Source organism: Homo sapiens, chromosome 9 (assembly GCF_000001405.40).
Source record: "Homo sapiens chromosome 9, GRCh38.p14 Primary Assembly".
Taxonomy (NCBI): Eukaryota; Metazoa; Chordata; class Mammalia; order Primates; family Hominidae; genus Homo; species Homo sapiens.
Genome location: NC_000009.12, coordinates 27,012,033 through 27,030,818, shown reverse-complemented (window position 1 = coordinate 27,030,818; position 18,786 = coordinate 27,012,033). Strand labels below are relative to the sequence as shown.

At 37.9% G+C, this 18,786-nt stretch overlaps 1 protein-coding gene across 5 annotated transcripts in view; it reads right to left on the bottom strand.

Annotated features, from left to right (window-relative positions):
- The window catches only part of IFT74 (intraflagellar transport 74), a 119,025-nt gene that overhangs the window by 35,316 nt on the left and 64,923 nt on the right, over positions 1–18,786 (bottom strand). For all 5 annotated transcript variants that reach the window (NM_001099223.3, NM_001099222.3, NM_001349928.2 and 2 more), the window contains exons 11-13: positions 13,769–13,912; positions 12,132–12,172; positions 1,715–1,794 (exon numbers count right to left, since the gene is read on the bottom strand). In NM_001099223.3, coding sequence (NP_001092693.1) covers positions 1,715–1,794; positions 12,132–12,172; positions 13,769–13,912 — 265 coding nt within the window. The remainder of the gene's footprint in view (positions 1–1,714; positions 1,795–12,131; positions 12,173–13,768; positions 13,913–18,786) is intronic.

The window sequence follows — 18,786 nt, the reverse complement described above, 5'->3', positions numbered from 1 at the left end:
AATATTTTAAAAAGCAATAATTAAGCAAATATGCAATTGTTGGCATTTCAACTAAGAAAGGAGAAATCAGGATGGGTTCAGGCTTTTTGGAAAGTAGCATGACATCTGCCAATAATACTCCGCTTTACTAATGATGCAGAGCTTGTAGCCAAATTCTGACCATATAACTTTCATTAGAGCTATTTCTCATTGTTTCTAGTTAGCACACACATACACAAATTCCTTCCCTGCTAAAATATAGAACAGTGTACCCTTTTTTTTTTTTTTTTTTGAGACGGAGTCTTGCTCTGTCACCCAGGCTGGAGTGCAGTGGTGTGATCTTGGCTCACTGCAACCTCCGCCTCCTGGGTTCAAGCCATTCTCCTGCCTCAGCCTCCCAAGTAGCTGAGATTACAGGCATGCGCCACTACTAAAAATTTAAAACTTAGCTGGATGTAGTGGCAGACGTTATATATTCCCAGCTACTCAGGAGGCTGAGACAGGAGGATCACTTGAACCCAAGAGTCTGAGGTTGCAGTGAGCTGTGATTGAGCCACTGCACCGCTATGAATGTTTCCTTAGCCATAACAAGAATACATGTACATGTGCACACTGTTTATACCATACCTAACTCATAAGAATATACAATCAATTCTTGATAATCCAAGAGCATAGTAACTGGTTTGCAGTTAAACTATGATTAAAATGCTATGGAGAATCTACTTTTATCTTTCTTATTAGGGAGAAGCTTGTTAGGAAACTGATGCTCAACCTCCTCCTTTAACCATAAATAACAATGTAGCCCCCACACCCAAACCCCCACCACAGTATTTCTACATAGTCAAACCCCAAGCTCCCTCAGGTGTTCTGGTACCTGCATTAGTTCTTCAAATTCCACTCCTGGGGAAAGTTGGGGAGGATAAGGTTAATCAGTCTTTGCTACTTCATTACTAGACCTGGGTGGGGAATTAATTCTGTCTGGATTATTTGTGTGGTATTTGTGATTTGATTTTCATCCCCTCTAACGCTACCAGTTACTGCCATTAGTAGTTGACTATATTATTATTATTTAATTAATTTATTTATTTATTGAGACCGAGTTTCACTCTTGTGGCCCAGGATGGAGTGCAGTGGTGCGATCTTGACTCACCGCAACCTCTGCCTCCGAGTTCAAGTGATTCTCCTGCCTCAGCCTTTCCGAATAGCTGGGATTACAGGCCTGTGCCACCACGCCCGGCTAATTTTTGTATTTTTAGTAGAGATGTGGTTTCTCCATGTTGGTCAGGCTGGTCTCGAACTCCCGACCTCCGATGATCTGCCCGCCTCAGCTTCCCAAAATGCTGGGATTACAGGCGTGAGCCACCACACCCGGCCGACTATATTGTTTATAGTAAACTATTGACTATTACTAGGAAGGAAGTGTAACTTAGGAGGAAGTATAACTTAGGAATCTCTAACAACTTTAAACATTTTACTTCTGTTTTTGTAAAAAAAAAAACAAACTGCTTGGCAAAGCTAAATAAATTTTATGCAATCATTTTAACTCATAAGTGGTCAGTTTAAATCATTGCTTTAATATTACTCATACAGTATATATTTTAGTAAAGTTAGTAATATCATAGAGAATTAAATAATAAATCCCAGGTAGTTGAACAGTCTCTGAGACACCAGTTAACACTATATTAATACTGCTAAACATCTGTTAATCTACATTATAAAAATACCAGAAGCATACCTTGGTGTTCCTCTAAATCCATGTCAAGTTGTCTAATTTCTTCAATAAACTGATTTATCTTTTCTTTTGTATCTGTTAACCTGTTGAAAATATTTTTAATGAATTTATGAAGGAAATATAGACATTCAATAAAAACAATTGATGGGGAGGTTAGATATCTTTTCCAAGTTGCATAAACAATATCTAAAAATAATATGTCTTATTCTAAGGACAATACTATAACTGACGATGACATTAGGATATCTTTTACAAATTGCATAAATATCGAAAAATAGCATATCCTATTATGAGGACAATACTATAAATTTAGAGAGGAAGAATCTTGTCTAGATCTTTTTTTTTTTTTCTTTGAGACGGGGTCTCGCTCTGCCACCAGGCTGAAGTTCAGTGGTGCGATCTCGGCTCACTGCAATCTCTGCCTCCCGGGAAAAAGCGATTCTCCTGCCTCAGCCTCCCGAATAGCTGGGACTAGAGGCACGCGCCTCCATGCCCAGCTAATTTTTGTATTTTTAGTAGAGACGGGGTTTCACCATGTTGGCCATGATGGTCTCGATCTCTTGACCTCGAGATCCACCTGCCTCAGCCTCCCAAAGTGCTGGGATTACAGGCGCGAGCCACTGCGCCAAGCATAGATCTTTTTTACTGATTCATATTTGGAGCCCAGGTATATTCTGAGAACACTAGTTGCCTGAGTTAAACAGCACACCCCCTCCCAACTTTCCTTTGAGTTTGATTTGCAGTATTAAGAAAATGAAAAATATTTAACAATACTTTTTGTAGGTTTCTATAAGCCAAATTAAGTTGGAAAATTAGTCTCAAAAATGAGAAAATAAGGGAAAACCTACCACTGGCAGAAGATTATATAGGTTAATATTTTAACATAAAGCAGTTATACTTACTCTAAAGCTACCATAACAAAACAATGTAGTATAGGCATAGGGATAGACATATATATCAATGGACTAAAATTGTGAGTCCAGAAATATGACCATATATCTATAGCTAACCGATTTTTGATAAGGGTGCTAAGGTAATTAAATGGGGAAAGAAGAGTATTTTCAATAAATGGTGCTGGGAAAAGTGCATATGCAGAAGCTAAGGGACTCCTACCTCACATCATACACAGAATTAACTTGAAATGGATCAAAGATCTCAATGTAAGAACTAAATTACCAAACTCTTAGAAGAAAACATAGACATAGTCTTTATGACCTTGGATTAGGCATTGGTTTCTTAGATATGACACTAAAAGCAAGAGCAACAAAAGAAAAATAGAAAAACTGGACAAAATCAAAATTGGAAACTTTTATGCTTCCAAAGACACCAAGAAAATGAAAAGATAATTCATAGAATTCATAGAACAAGGGAAAATTTTTACAAATCATGTATCTGATGACACCTCTATCTAGCATATATAAGGAAATGTTACAACTCAGTAATCAAAAACAATCTAGTTTAAAAAATGAGCAAATGAACTAAGTAAACATTTCCCCCAAAGAATATGGCCAATAAGCATATGAAAGGAACCTCAACATCATTAGCCATCAAACAAATACAAATCAAAACCATAGTGAGACACCGCTTCATACCCATTAGGAATGGCTATAATAGAAAAAGAGATAATAACAAGTGAGGATGTGAAAAACTGGAACCCTCACATGCTGCTCATATGCTGCTCTTATTATATTACATAGAAATGTAAAACAGTACCAATTCTTTGAAAGTCTGATAGAATTCAGCTGTGGCTCCATCTGGTCCTGGACTTTTTGTTGGCAATTTTTTTTTTTTAACCATTTCAATCTCACTGCTCGTTAATGGTCTGTTCAGAGTTTCTATTTCTTCCTACTTTAATCTAGGATTGTATATTTCCAGGAATCTATCCGTCTCCTCTAAGTTTTCTAGTTTGTGCGTGTAAAGGTGCTCACTGTAAGCTTGGTCTTTTGTATTTCTGTGGTATTGGTTGTAGTATCTCCCATTTTGTTTCTAATTGAGCTTATTTGGATCTTTTCTCTTCTTTTCTTGATTAATCTTGCTATTGGTCTATCAATTTTGTTTATCTTTTCAAAGAACCAGCTTTTTGCTTCATTTATCTTTCAATTTTTTGTTTCAATTTAATTTAGTTCTGCTCTGATGTTTGTAATTTCCTTTTCTTTTGGTGGGTTTGGGTTTTGTTTGTGCTTGTTGCTCTAGTTCCTTGAGGTGTAACGTTAGATTGTCTATTTGTGTTCTTTCAGACTTTTTGATGTAGGCACTTAATGCTCTGAATGTTCCTCTAGGCACTGCTTTTGCTGTATCCCAGAGGTTTTAATAGGTTGTGTCATTATTATTGTTCAGTTCAAAGAATTTTTAAATTTCCATCTTGATTTCATTGTTGACCTAAAGATCATTCAGGAGCAAATTATTTAATTTCCATGTATCTGCATGGTTTTTAAGGTTCCTTTTGGAGTTGATTTCCAGTTTTATTCCACTGTGGTCTGAGAATACTTGATATAATTTTGATTTTCTTAAATTTATTGAGACTTGTTTTGTGGCCTATCATATGGTCTGTCTTGCAGGACGTCCCATGTGCTGATGAACAGAATGTATATTCTGCAGTTGTTGGGTAGAATGTTCTATAAATATCTGTTGAGTCCATTTGTTCTAGGGTATAATTTAAATCCATTGTTTCTTTGTTGACTTTCTGACCCGTCTAGTGCTGTCAATGGAGTATTGAAGTCCCCCACTATTAATTGTATTGCTGTCTATCTCATTTGTTAGGTCTAGTGGTAATTGTTTTTTACATTTGGGAGCTCTAGTGTTAGGTGCATATAGATTTAGTACTGTGATATTTTCCTGTTTGATTAGTCCTTTTATCATTACATAATGTCCTTCTTTGTCTTTTTCAATTGTTGTTAAAGTCTGTTTTGTCTAATATAAGAATAGCTACTCCTACTTGCTTTTGGGACCATTTGCATGGAATAACTTTTTCCACCCTTTTACCTTAAGTTTATGTGAGACCTTATGCATTAGGTGAGTCACTTGAAGATGGGAGATACTTGGTTGGTGAATTCTTATCCATTCCGTTATTCTGTATATTTAAGTGGAGCATTTGGGCTGTTTATATTCAATGTTAGTATTGAGATATGTGGTATTGTTCTATTCATTGTGCTAGTTATTGCCTGAATACCTTAGTTTTTCATTTCCATTGTGTTGTTTTATAGGCCCTGTGAGATTTATGATTTAAGGAGTTTCTACTTTGGTGTATTTTGAGGTTTTGTTTCAAGATTTAGAACTCCCTTTAACTGCTCTTGTAGTGCTGCCTTGGTAGTGGTGAATTCTCTCAGCATTTCTCTGAAAATGACTTTATCTTTGCTTCATTTATGAAGCTTAGTTTCAATGGATACAAAATTCTTGGCTGATAATTATTTTAAGGAGTCTAAAGGTAGGACTCCAATTCCTTCTAGCTTGTAGGGTTTCTGCTAAGAAATCTGCTATTGATCTGATAGGTTTTCCTTTATAGGTTACCTGATGCTTTTGCCTCATAGCTCTTAAGATTCTTTCCTCTGTCTTGACTTTAGATAATCTTATGACTATGCCTAAGTGATGATCTTTTTGTGATGCATTTCCCAGTTGTAATCTTTGACATTCTTTCTTTTCTTTTCTTTTTTTTTTTTTTTTTTTTGGAGATGGAGTCTCACTCTGTCACCCAGGATGGAATGCAGTGGCATGATCTTAGCTCACTGCAACCTCCACCTCCCAGGTTCAAGTGATTTTTCTGCCTTAGCCTCCCAAGTTGCTGGGACTACAGGTGCGTGCCACCATGCCCAGCGGATTTTTGTATTTTTAGTAGAGACAAGGTTTTACCTTATTGGCCAGGCTGCTCTTGAACTCCTGACCTCATGTTCCGCCCACCTCGGCCTCCCAAAGTGCTGGGATTACAGGTGTGAGCCACCGTGCTCAGCCATGACATTCTTATATTTGGATGTCTACATCTCTAGCAAGGCCAGGGAAGTTTTCCTTGATTATTCCCTCAAATACATTTTCCAAACTTACAGGTTTGTCTTCTTCCTCAGGAACACCCATTATTCTTAGGTTTGGCCATTTAACAGAATCTCAAACTGTTTGGAGCCTTTGTGCTTTTTTTTTTTTTTAATTCTTTTTTGGTCTTTGTTGGATTGGGTTATTCTGAAAGCCTTGTCTTAGAGCTCTGAAGTTCTTTCTTCTGCTTGTTTGATTCTATCGTTGAAACTTTCCAATGTATTTTGCATTTCTCAAAGTGTGTCTTTCATTTCCAGAAGTTGTGACTGTTTTTTTATTTATGCTACATATTTCTCTGGAGATTTTTTTCATCCATATCCTGTATTTTAAATTTCTTTAAGTTGGTTTTCACCTTTCTCTGCTGGCTCCTTCAGTAACTTAATAACTGACCTTCTGAATTCTTTTTCTGTCAATTCAGAGATTTCTTCTTGGTTTGGATCCACTGCTGGTACTAGTGTGATCTTCTGGGGATGTTACAGAACCTTGTCTTCTCATATTACCAGAATTGTTTTACTGGTTCCTTCTCATTTGGGTAGACTATGACAGAAGAAAGATCTGAGACTCAAGGACTGCTGTTCAGATTCGTTTGTCCCATGAGGTGATCCCTTGATGTGGTGCTCTCTCCCTTTCCCTAGAGATGGGGCTTCCTGAGAGCCAGACTGCAGTGATTGTTATTGCTGTTCTGGGTCTAGCCACCCACCAGAGCTACCGGGCTCTGGGCTTGTACTTGGGAGGGTCTGCGAAGAGTCCTGCGAAGTGATCTGTCTTTAGGGTCTCAGCTGTGGATACCAGCACCTGCTCTGGTGGAGGTAGCTGAAGAGTGAAGTGGATTCTGTGAGAGTTCTTGGTTGTAGTTTTGTTTCGTGCACTGGTTTTCTTGAATGCTGGTTATGCTGGCAGTGAAGCTGTCATGTGAACAGAGTCAGGGCCTCTGGTTAGTGTGGATGTTACAGGCAGTGGAATTAGCTGTTGTTTTCTCCTTCCCTTGGAGCAGGATTGTTCTGTTATGAATTGCTGTAATGGTTTGTGTTGGTTGGCCTCCAGCTAGGAGGTGGCACTTTCAAGAGGGCATCAGCTGCAGTAGTATGGGGGGATACAAGCTTGCCCTAAGGTCACCTGAATAAATATTTGGGTTTCTCAGGTGATTGGTGAGGCCATAGGCCTGCCACAAGTTTATGTCTTTTGTCTTTGGCTACGAGGCGGGTAGAGAAAGACCATCAGGTCGGGGCAGGGTTAGGCGTGTCTCAGCTCAGACTCCTCTTGTATGGGGCTGGCTATGGCCAATGTGGGTGATGGAAGGGGTGGTTTCAGGCCAAAGAAGTTATGTTCAATGGGGGAGATGGCAGCCTCTGCTGCTGATCTTACTGAAACTATTCCAAAAGATAGAGAAAGAGGGAATCTTCCTTAAATCATTCTATGAAGCCAGTATCACCCTAATACCAAAACCAGGAATGAACATAACAAAAAAAAGAAAACTATGGACCAACATCCCTAATGAACTTAGAGGCAAAAATCCTCAAAAAAAAATTAGCCAACCAAATCCAGCAGCATATCAAAAAGATCCTCCATGATCAAGTGGGTTTTATAGCAGAGATGCAGGGATGAGTGAACATACACAAGTCAATAAACGTGATACACCACATAAACGGAATTAAAAACAAAACTCATATGATCATCTCAATAGATGCAGAAAAAGCATTTGACAAAATCCAGCATCCTTTTATGATTAAAACCCTCAGCAAAATCAGCACAGAAGAGACATATCTTAAGGTAATAAAAGCTATCTATGACAAACCCACAGCCAACATTATACTGAACAGGGGAAAGTTGAAAGCATTCCCCCTAAGAACTGGAACAAGACAAGGATGCCCACTCTCACCACTTCTATTCAACACAGCACTAGAAGTCCTAGCTAGAGCAATCAGAAAAAAGAAATGAATAAAGGGCATCTACATCAGTAAAGAGGAAGTCAAACTGTCACTGTCTGCTCTTGATATGATCATATAACTAGGAAACCCTGAAGACTCAACCAGAAAACTCCTAGATCTTATAAATAAATTCAGTAGTTTCAGGACACAAAATCAATGTACACAAATCAGTAGCACCGCTATATACCAACAGCAACCAAGCTGAAAAGAAATCAAGAACTCGGTCGGGCGCGGTGGCTCATGCCTGTAATCCCAGCACTTTGGGAGGCCGAGGTAGGCAGATCACAAGGTCAGGTCAAGACCATCCTGGCTAACACAGTGAAACCCCGTCTCTACTAAAAATACAAAAAAGTAGCCGGTGTGGTGGCACGTGCCTTTAGTCCCAGCTACTCGGGAGGCTGAGGCAGAAGAATTGCTTGAACCCGGGAGGCGGAGGTTGCAGTGAGCCAAGATTGCGCCACTACACACCAGCCTGGGCGACAGAGCAAGACGCTGTCTCAAAAAAAAAAAAAAGAAATCAAGAACTCAACTCCTTTCACAACAGCTGTGAAAATAAAATAAAATAAAACAAAATATAATACAATACAATACTTGGGAATATGCCTAACCCAAAAGGTGAAAGACCTCTACAAGGAAAACTACAAAACACTGCCGAAAGAAATCATAGATGACAAAAACAAATGGAAACATATTCCATGCTCATGGATGGCTAGAATCAATATTGTGAAAATGACCATACTGCCAAAAGCAATCTACAAGTTCAATGCAATTCCCATTTCACCATCATCATTCTTCACAGAACTAGAAAAAAAAATCCAAAATTCATATGGAACCCAAAGCGAGCCTGCATAGCCAAAGCAAGACTAAGCAAAAAGAACAAAGCTGGAGACATCACATTAACCAACTTCAAACTACACTATAAGGACTATGAGGTCACCAAAACAGTATTGTATTGGCATAAAAACATGTACATGGACCAATGGCACAGAATAGAGAACCCAGAAATAAAACCAAATACTGACAGTCAGCTGATCTTCGAAAAAGCAAAAAAAACATAAGGTGGGGAAAGGACACCCTATTCAACAAATGGTGCTGGGATAATTGGCAAGCCACAAGTAGGAGAATGAAACTGGATCCTCATCTCTCATCTTATACAAAAATCAATTCAAGGTGAATCAGAGACTTAAATCTAAGACCTAAACCCATACAAATTCTAGAAGATAACATCAGAAAAACTCTTCTAGACATCGGCATAAGCAAAGACTTCATGAACTGAAAGAACCTAAAAGCAAATGCAACAAAAACAAAGATAAATAGATGGGACTTAATTAAACTAAAAAACTTCTGCACCACAAAAGAATCAGCAGAGTTAATAGACAACCCACAGAGTTGGAGAAAACTTTCCTAAACTGTGCATCTGACAAAGGGCTAATATCTAGAATCTACAACAAGTTCAAACAAATCAGCAAGAAAAAAAAATCCCATAAAAAAGTGAAAAGTGGGCTAAGGACATGAATAGATGACTCTCAAAAGAAGATATACAAATGGTCAACAATCATAGGAAATGATGCTCAACATCATTATCAGGGAAATGCAAATCAAAACCACAATGCAATACCACCTTACTCCTGCAAGAATGGCCATAATTAAAAAATTTTTAAAAATAGATGTTGGTGTGGATGTGGTGAAAAGGGAACACTTTTACACTGCTTGTGGAAATATAAAGTAGTACAACCACTATGGAAAACAGTATGGAGATTCCTTAAAGAACTAAAAGTAGGTCTACCATTTGATCTAGCGATCCCACTACGAGGTATCTATCCAGAGGAAATAGAAGTCATTATATGAAAAGACACTTGCACACGCATGTTGACAGCAGTACAATTTGCAACTGGAAAAATATGGAAACAGCCAAAAAGCCAACAATCAACAAGTGAATAAAGAAAATGTGGTATGTATGTGTGTGTGCGTATATATTTATACATATACATACATATATATTTATACATATACATACATATATATATGTTTATTCTACTCAGCCATAAAAAGGAACAAAATAATGGCATTCACAGCAACCTAGACAGAGTTGGAGACAGTTATTCTAAGTGAAGAAACTCAGGAATGGAAAACCAAACATTGTATGTTCTCATTTATAAGTGGGAGCTAAGCTATGAGGACGTAAAGGCATAAGAATGATACAATGGACTCCGGGGACTTGGTGGGAAGAGTGAGAGGTGGGTGAGGGATAAAACACTACACAGTGGGTAGAGTGGACACTGCTTGGTTGATGGATGCATCAAAATCTCAGAAATCACCACTCAAGAAATTATCCATGTAACCAAATACCACCTGTTCCCCAAAAACTACTGAAGTAAAAAAGATAGGCCAGGCGCGGTAGGTCACGCCTGTAAACCCAGCACTTTGGGAGGCCGAGGCGGGCAGATCACGAGGTCAGGAGATCGAGACCATCCTGGCTAACACAGTGAAACCCCGTCTCTACTAAAAATACAAAAAATTAGCCAGGCGCAGTGGCGGGCGCCTGTAGTCCCAGCTACTGGGGAGGCTGAGGCAGGAGAATGGCATGAACCTGGGAGGAGGAGCTTGCAGTGAGCCGAGATTGGGCTGCTGCACCCCAGCCTGGGCAACAGAGGGAGACTCTGTCTCAAAAAAAAAGAAAAAAAAAAAAAAGAAATAAAAAAGATAAAATAAAGCTGCTTTAAATGTTCCTAAAAGAAAAAAATATTCTCTTAGCCATAAGAATATAGAAATTTGCTTACAGTTACAAAAAACAGAAAAAAAAAATTAGTTTCTTAGTACCTTAGCCAGTATTGCAAAACACTTGACACGGGCTGCAATTCAGCTGATACTAGAGACTGTGATTCCAAAATTTAATTTCATAAGTTGTAATCAGCAACAAAAACATTACAATAGAATATGAGAGACATTAAAAGGCAATTTCGTCATTGTTGACTACTTATTAATTTACAACTTAGTTGATTAAAATTAAAACAATCTTAGCCGGGTATGGTGCTGTGTGCCTGTAGTCCCAGCTACTCGGGAGGCTGAGGCATGAGAATCCCTTGAACCCAGGATGTGGAGGTTGCAGTGAGCCAAGATTGCACCACTGCATTCCAGCCTGGGCGACAAACTGGGACTCTGTATCAGAAAAAAAAAAAAAAATTAAATTAAAACAATTGGTATGCTTTCTGGTGACTGGTAGTAAAATGATTGTTTTACAAATTTCAAATAAATGTATTCAAATACAAATAAATGAAATGTAAAATGGTAAAGCTGTTTTGGAAAACAGTCTGGTAGTTCTTCAAAAAGTTAAACATAGTCATGAGTCAGCAATTCCACTCCTAGGTATATATACAAGAGAAGTGAAAACATATGCCCACACAAAAACTTGTACATGGATGTTTATAGGAGCATGACTCATGATAATAAAAAAATGGTAACAGCCCATACATCCATTAATTGATAAATAAATAAAATATGGTATATCCATACAATGGAATACTATTTGGAAATAAAAATTAATAAAATACTAAGCATGTATTAGTATTAATAAAAACTAATACATGCTTAGTATTTTATTAATTTTTATTTCCAAATAATATTCCATTTGTCTTAGTTTTCAAGGCTCACCTATGAGCCTTGGAACAGAACAGAGAACCCAGAAATAAAGCCAAATACCAATAGTCAGCTGATCTTCGAGAAAGCAAGGCTCACTGTGCTAAGTGAAAGCATCCTGACACACAGAAGCACATATTGAATGATTCCATATATATGAAATGTCCAGAATGGGCATGGCTAGAGCTGGGAGAGGGATAAGGGAGGTGATGGTTAAAGGGTGCAGGGTTTTATTGGGCTGACTGAATAGTTCTAAAATTGACTGGGGGCATGGCATACTGGCTCACATCTTTAATCCCAGCTCTTTGGGAAGCTGAGATGGGAGGATCACTTGAGGCTAGGAGCTGGAGACTAGCCTGGGCCACATAGCAAGATCTCGACTCTACTAAAAATAAAAATAAATTAGCCAGATATGGTGGTGTGTGCCTGTAGTCCTGGCTACTTGGGAGGTTTGAGCCCAGGAGTTTGAGGTTACAGTGAGCTATATCATGCCACTTGCACTCCAGTCTGGGCAGCAGAATGAGACCTGGTCTCAAAAAGATAAAAATAAATAAAAATTGAAAAATAAAGGTGATCTAGGTGATGGCTGCACACTTCTGTGAATATACTAAAATGTTTTAAATTGTTTACATTAAATATGTCTATTATATGGTATAAAGTATATCTTAATAAAGATACTTATAAAAAAATTATACTATGCAATGGCTCTTAAACACTCAAAGAAATATTTAAAGCTATAAGTAAAATTGAAAGAATGAAAGCCACTCCTGTACCTTTAGAATGTAATTTTTAAAGTGAGAAATGGATGTAAAATGTCCTAGTATAAAGATACTTACTGTCTTTCCATGCTGGCTATTTCCTGATTATCATCTTTAATCTACAAAGGCATAAAAAGAAAGTAGTATTTAAAAAAATAACTCATTGTAAGGCTATCTTAAAGATAATTTCCTTCTAGAGTACAATTGTACTAAAGTGTCAAATCTACTCTCTTTCTTGAAATCTATTTTTTAGATTTCAACCTTTGAAGTTAAAGGGAACAGCACCAAGGAACCATTCACAGATTCCATCCTTTTTCCTCAAAGTAAGGGTAGTAACTGATATACTCACAGCTACCCTCCAGGCACCATGAGGATAGCTCATCTTCAGGCCTGGATAAGTTGATATAAACATCTAGGATTTCTGAGATTCCCCTCAGTTTCCCACAAGGTAGGGTTGCTAGATTGAGCAAGCCCAGTTAAATCTGAATTTCAGATAAATAGTGAATACCTTTGAGAGGATATATGTACCATGTAATATTTGGAATATCCATATCATTGACAAGCAATAAATAATTTTTCCATATACATATATATATCTGAAAGATTATTTATTGCTTATCTGAAATTCAAATTTAAGCAGCCATTCTATATTTTATGTGGTAGGCGTACCTCAAGATCACTCCTCCCCATCTTTCAATGATTTCTCTCCAAGGAACTACACAGGTTCTAGATTTAATACCTTTTTGAAATGATTCTAATAATTAAATAGTCCCTGAATTGATACCTACATTTCTTCTAAATGCACTGGGCTTGATCTAAGTCTAAGGGCAAAGGAGTCCCTGACTGGAGCTGTGCCCATATACATATGAAGTTCTCCTAAGGCCCTTATAGTTAGGATGTGTCAGGATAAACAACATGCTAATTATAATTTGGAGCTAAACTAAATCCACCCCTGGGGTAGTAAGAAAGCTACTAAATACATGTTACATGTGTCATGACTTTAGGACATACGATAATTTCACAGGACATTTTAATTCCATTCTCTTCATGGAGGCACTGATAATAACAACCACAAAAAGTCATTAGCCTTGGGATACTCCATTTTCTAAATACAAGGCCCAAAACAATAATGAAACATATCTTCAAAAAGATTATCTAAATATTTAATGACCAATAAAGAAGAGTTTCAAGTATTCCTAATAAGGAAAAGTTAGCTTCACCTAAGTTACTATGAAATACTTGATTAAGAAAATCTAGGCTGGGTGCCTATAGTCCCAACACTTGGAGAGGCTGAAATGGGAGGACTGCTTGAGGCCAGGAGCTGGAGACCAGCCCAGGCAACACAGTAAAACCCTATCTCTACAAAAAATAAAAATAAAAAATTGGTGTGTTGGCACATGCCTGCAGTCCCAGCTACTCGGGAGGCTGAGGTGGAGGATCACTTGAGGCCAGCAGCTCAGGGCTACAGTGAGCTATGATTGCACCACTGTGCTCCAGCCTGGGTTACAGAGCAAGATCCTACATCAAAAATAATAATAATAATAATAATAAAAGAGGAAGAAAATCTAGATTAAAAAGTCATTTCTTCACATAAACTATTTTTAGACAATACACTTACTAGCTTTACTACTTGCATTAATATCCCTTTAAAAAAAACAAATCAATACATGTACCAAAACCAGACATCTTAAAATAAGTATGTTTGTTTTGCCCACCTGCTTAAGTAATTTCTCTCTCTCTTCCATTGGAGATCCTATGCTTTTGTCTTCTGCAATCATTTGATCTCGATGGGACTCCAACTCATAAAGTTTTTCATGCAGCAATACCGCCTCCTGTTTCACCTGGGAGTGAGCTATTTCCTAAAGGAAAATAAGAAGGGAAAGTTTTAATTAGTATTTTATCAATAATTATTCTAAAATAGGTTTCAGTTTATAAGAATGGGGGTAAATTTAAACTACTAGCATCTTTAAATACAGACAGCAAATATCATTAGTACTCAATAATGCTACAAAGCACATTCCTAAATTGGAAGAATAAAAATAAATCCTGCTATTTTCAGTCTAAGATTCACAAGAAGTTGATAGCCTTAGTTTATTTTATTTTCTACATATAAGACCTGAATAAGTATAGGACAACTCTACCAATGGGAGGATAAAGACAATGTCAAAACATATGTACAACTTTAAACACAATGTCTGATTCAAAGTCCATAGAAGTGATCTTTGGAGAGAAGATATTTTTCCCTAAATAGGTCATAACATATATTTTCCCACAATTTTGTGGGTTGAATTGTGTCTGCTCAAAAAGGTAAGCTGGAGTCTTAACATCATAAACCTGTCAATTTGACCTTTATTTGGAAATAAGCTCTTTGCATATTTAGTCAAGTTAAGATATGGTCATTAGGGGTGGGCCCTAATCCAATATGATGGTGCCCTTTATAAGAAGAGTACAGACACAACAGAGACACACAGGGAGAATACCATGTTATGACTCAGGCAAAGACTGGAGTGATGCAGCTGCAAGTCAAGCAATATCAAGAGCTAATGGATACCACTAGAAGCTAGGAAGAAGCAGAGCAAGATTCTGTCTAGAGTCTCAGAGGAAGCATGGCTCTGCTGACACCGTGATTTCAGACTTCCAGGCTCTGGAACTGTGAGAAAATTTGTGTTTCTTTTAAGCCACCCAGTTTGTGATATTCTATTATAGCAGCACTAGGAAATGAACACATGAAATAACAGTTACTGTGTACTCACCACTATCCCACCTTTCACAAAGAAAAAAATAAGGATGTGACAAAAATGTTATTAGCTAACAACACCAAAAAAAAGGTAGGAATGGTGTTGGTGATGATTAAAATGACATTTGAGACTCTTGTTTACTGAGCATCTGTTCTGTGCCAGGCACTATACTACATGTTATTTATATGCTATCTCTACTATCCAAAGTGATACTCTACAAGATAGTACTATCATCTCTATTTTACAGATGAGAAAACTAAGGATCTGACATGTAAATAACTTTTCAAAGTTAACAAAGACATAAGAGTTAACAGTGACATTTGAAACCGGACCTACAACTTGAACAAAATAAAATTCTTAGAAGGGAAGACCTCATTTTTTTTTCTTTTTTGAGATGGAATTTCGCTCTTTCACCCAGGCTGGAGTGCAGTGGTGCGATCTTGGCTCACTGCAAACTCCGCCTCCCAGGTTCAAGCGATTCTCCTGCCTCAGCCTCCCAAGTAGCTGGGATTATAGGCGCCTGCCACCACGCCCAGCTAATTTTTGTATTTTTAGTAGAGATGGGGTTTCACCATGTTGGCCATGCTGGTCTCAAAACTCCTGACCTCGTGATCCGCCCATCTCAGCCTCCCAAAGTGCTGGGATTACAGGTGTGAGCCACTGTGCCTGGCCAACCTCTTCTCTTCTAAAAGTATGAAAGAAGGAACCTCCAAAAAAGGAACGAGTAGACGAGATAATTTTTCAAAGTCCATAAGCAATGGATTATATATACAGTTCAAGTAACAGATTAGGCATCAGATAAGATTAAAAAAAGCCATGCTAAAAAGACATAGAAGAAATGCAGATATTTTATGCTATCCTTTTTCATAGTATCGTCTCCTTTTTGCCTAACAATCCTATAGATTTGTTTGAATTTCATCTTGATAAAATTGTTCTGGAAGACTTAAGCTCATGTTAATCCTTCACCTGATTTTTTCCACTCTTGTGAACTGAATAAGCATGACCTAATACGTTGTACAGCAGTGAACATAAAGTATTCAAAAAATACTAGTTGATTGACCACTATCTGACAGGTATTTTCTTGAAGAACAAGTCCTAAACAAATAAATAAAAGAAATCTGGGCTGGGCGTGATAGCTCACGCCTGTAATCTCAGCACTTTGGGAGGCCAAGGCGGGTGGATCACAAGGTCAGGAGTTCAAGACCAGCCTGGCCAACACAGTGAAACCCTGTCTCTACTAAAAATACAAAAATTAGCCGGGCATGGTGATGCACGCTTGTAATCCCACTACTCGGGAGGCTGAGGCAGGAGAATTGCTTGAACTCAGAAGGCGGAGGTTGCAGTGAGCCAAGACTGTGCCACTGCACTTTAGCCTGGGCAACAGAGCAAGACTCTGTCTCAAAAAAATTTTTTTTTTTAAAAAGAAAGAAATCTGGCAAAAGTTAAATAGAATTAGTGACATGTTATCTTAATTTGCACATATTGTGTATTTTTAAAACTCTTGTTATTTTAGGCATAAATGTACTGACATCAGAGAAGAACGGCATCAGTACAAAAAGTAAATCTAAGGTTATAGCTTATGATTTTTCCTATGGAAACCAAATTCACCAAGTGAAGTAAGACTTGACTCTCTCAAACCCACTCCAAAAAAGAACCATGAGGAATTCTGCAAGCTGGTTGTATTAATACTAAATGTGGTCCTTCTTTCTTTAAGCGTATTTCCATCACCAGAGATCCAAGGAAATAAAAATTAAGTGTCTTTATAGATGGACAACCAGACACAGAAAACTACCTGCTTTTTTTTTACTTTTTTTAGACAGAATCTTGCTCCGTCGCCCAGGCTGGAGTGCAGTGGCGTGATCTTGGCTCACTGCAAGCTCTGCCTCCTGGGTTCATGCCATTCTTCTGCCTCAGCCTCCCGAGCAGCTGGGACTACAGGTGCTTGCCACCATGCCCGACTAATTTTTTGTATTTTTAGTAAAGACGGGTTTTCACCACGTTAGCAAGGATGGTCTCGATCTCCTGACCTTGTGATCTGCCTGCCTTGGCCTCCCAAAGTGCTGGGATTACAGGCGTGAGCCACCACGCCCAGCCAACTACCTTACTATTTTTAATTAAATAACTTTTTCAATAGCAAATTCTCAAAAGAATTAATTACAAAATACTCATTTCTTTTGCAAGCTAGGGTGTCAGCAATCTATCAGTCTACAACAGTTCCTAATACTGTCATCATGATGTCTACCTGAATCCACAGGAAATCAGGAAAGGGAGGCAAGATTTGAGATACAGACAGTATACTGAAACGCCAAAAATATGAAAAAGGAGTTCAAAGAAAAAGAAATTCATTGGCCAAAAATGATATAAATAGATACTCAACTTTATTCATAAATAAATGAAAATTCAAATAAGGTAGTAATTTTTACCTATCAAAATAGCTAAAACTGGAAAAGTCAGATAATATTTGCTGTCAGTGAATGCAGGGGAAATAAGCATTCACATACATTACATCTAGAAGTAAAAGTTGGAACAACCTTTTTGAAGGCAATTTGGCAATCTGACAACATTTTTAAACTGTATACCTTTTGACCCATTGTGAGAATTCAATCTTATGATATAACTTCGCATAAAATGTATGCTTTCACAGGAGTATTGTTTATAATCCCGGAAAACTATAAACAACCTGTTCATTTACAAGGCTGTGTTATAATTATACAACATAATACATTGTAGCAATTTAAAATAATGAGGAGGTTCTCTAGGAACTGATATAAATAGACACTGTAGATACAATGTTAGGGTGAAAAAAGAAAGCTGCAGCTAGCATAGCACGTAGGAACCCCACTTGAGGTTTTCCACAACTGTAAAACCAAGATGGGATTTAGGACTCTTGTGGGGATTACATGAAGATGATGCTGATATGTGTTTACAGCTCAAAAAAGCATACAGTAAGCACTTGATAAATGTCTTTCCAGTAGTTCTATCTGGAAAGAAGGACACAAAACAGACATTTTGGCTGGGCGCAGTGGCTCACGCCTATAATCCCAGCACTTTGGGAGGCCGAGGTGGGCGGATCACAAGGTCAGGAGATCGAGACCATCCTGGCTAATACAGTGAAATCCCATCTCTACTAAAAATACAAAAAAATTAGCTGGGTGTGGTGGCGGGTGCCTGTAGTCCCAGCTACTCTGGAGGCTGAGGCAGGAGAATGGCGTGAACCTGGGAGGCGGAGCTTGCAGTGAGCCGAGATCGCACCACTGCACTCCAGCCTGGGCAACAGAGCGATACTCTGTCTAAAAAAAAAAAAAAAAAAAAAAAAAAACAGACATTTTTACTTTCCTCTTGTTCAACTATTTTTAAACCATATGCACATTTTGTTTTGTGAAATAAAGCGTTTTAAATAAATGAATAAAAAAAGTAAGTTTTTACATCCTTAAAGAGATGAACTCATGTCTCTCCCTCTTTCTTTGTTTTTATAATCTCTTGTGTATGTGTCTTTAAATTGCCATTAGAGGCTGAGCACAATGCCTCATGCCTGTAATCCCAGCACATTGGGAAGCCAAGGCAGGAGCATTGCTTGAGGCCAGGAGCTGTACATCAGCCATAACGAGACCCTGTCTTTACAAAAAGTAAAAAAAAAATTAGCCAGGTGTGGTGGTTCCTGCCTGAAGTCCTAGCTACTTGGGAACCTGAGGAGGGAGGATCGCTTGAGCCCAGGAGCTTGAATTTACAGTGAGCTACGATCATGTCACCGCACTCTAGCCTGAGTGACAAAGAAAGACTCTGTCTCTAAAAAAATAATTTTTTTAATTGCTATTGGATTTTGCATGTCCTAGGTAGGGCGGAATGATTTGTTTTATACATAGTAGGTACTCAATAACTGAATCTAATTTCTTACCATACTAGGATCTTTGTGGGTCCAGAATAGGAAGAAAAAGTATTAAACTCCTATTAGTAAGCTGCCAGATCAATATGTAGTTGAATTAGTTATATTAATA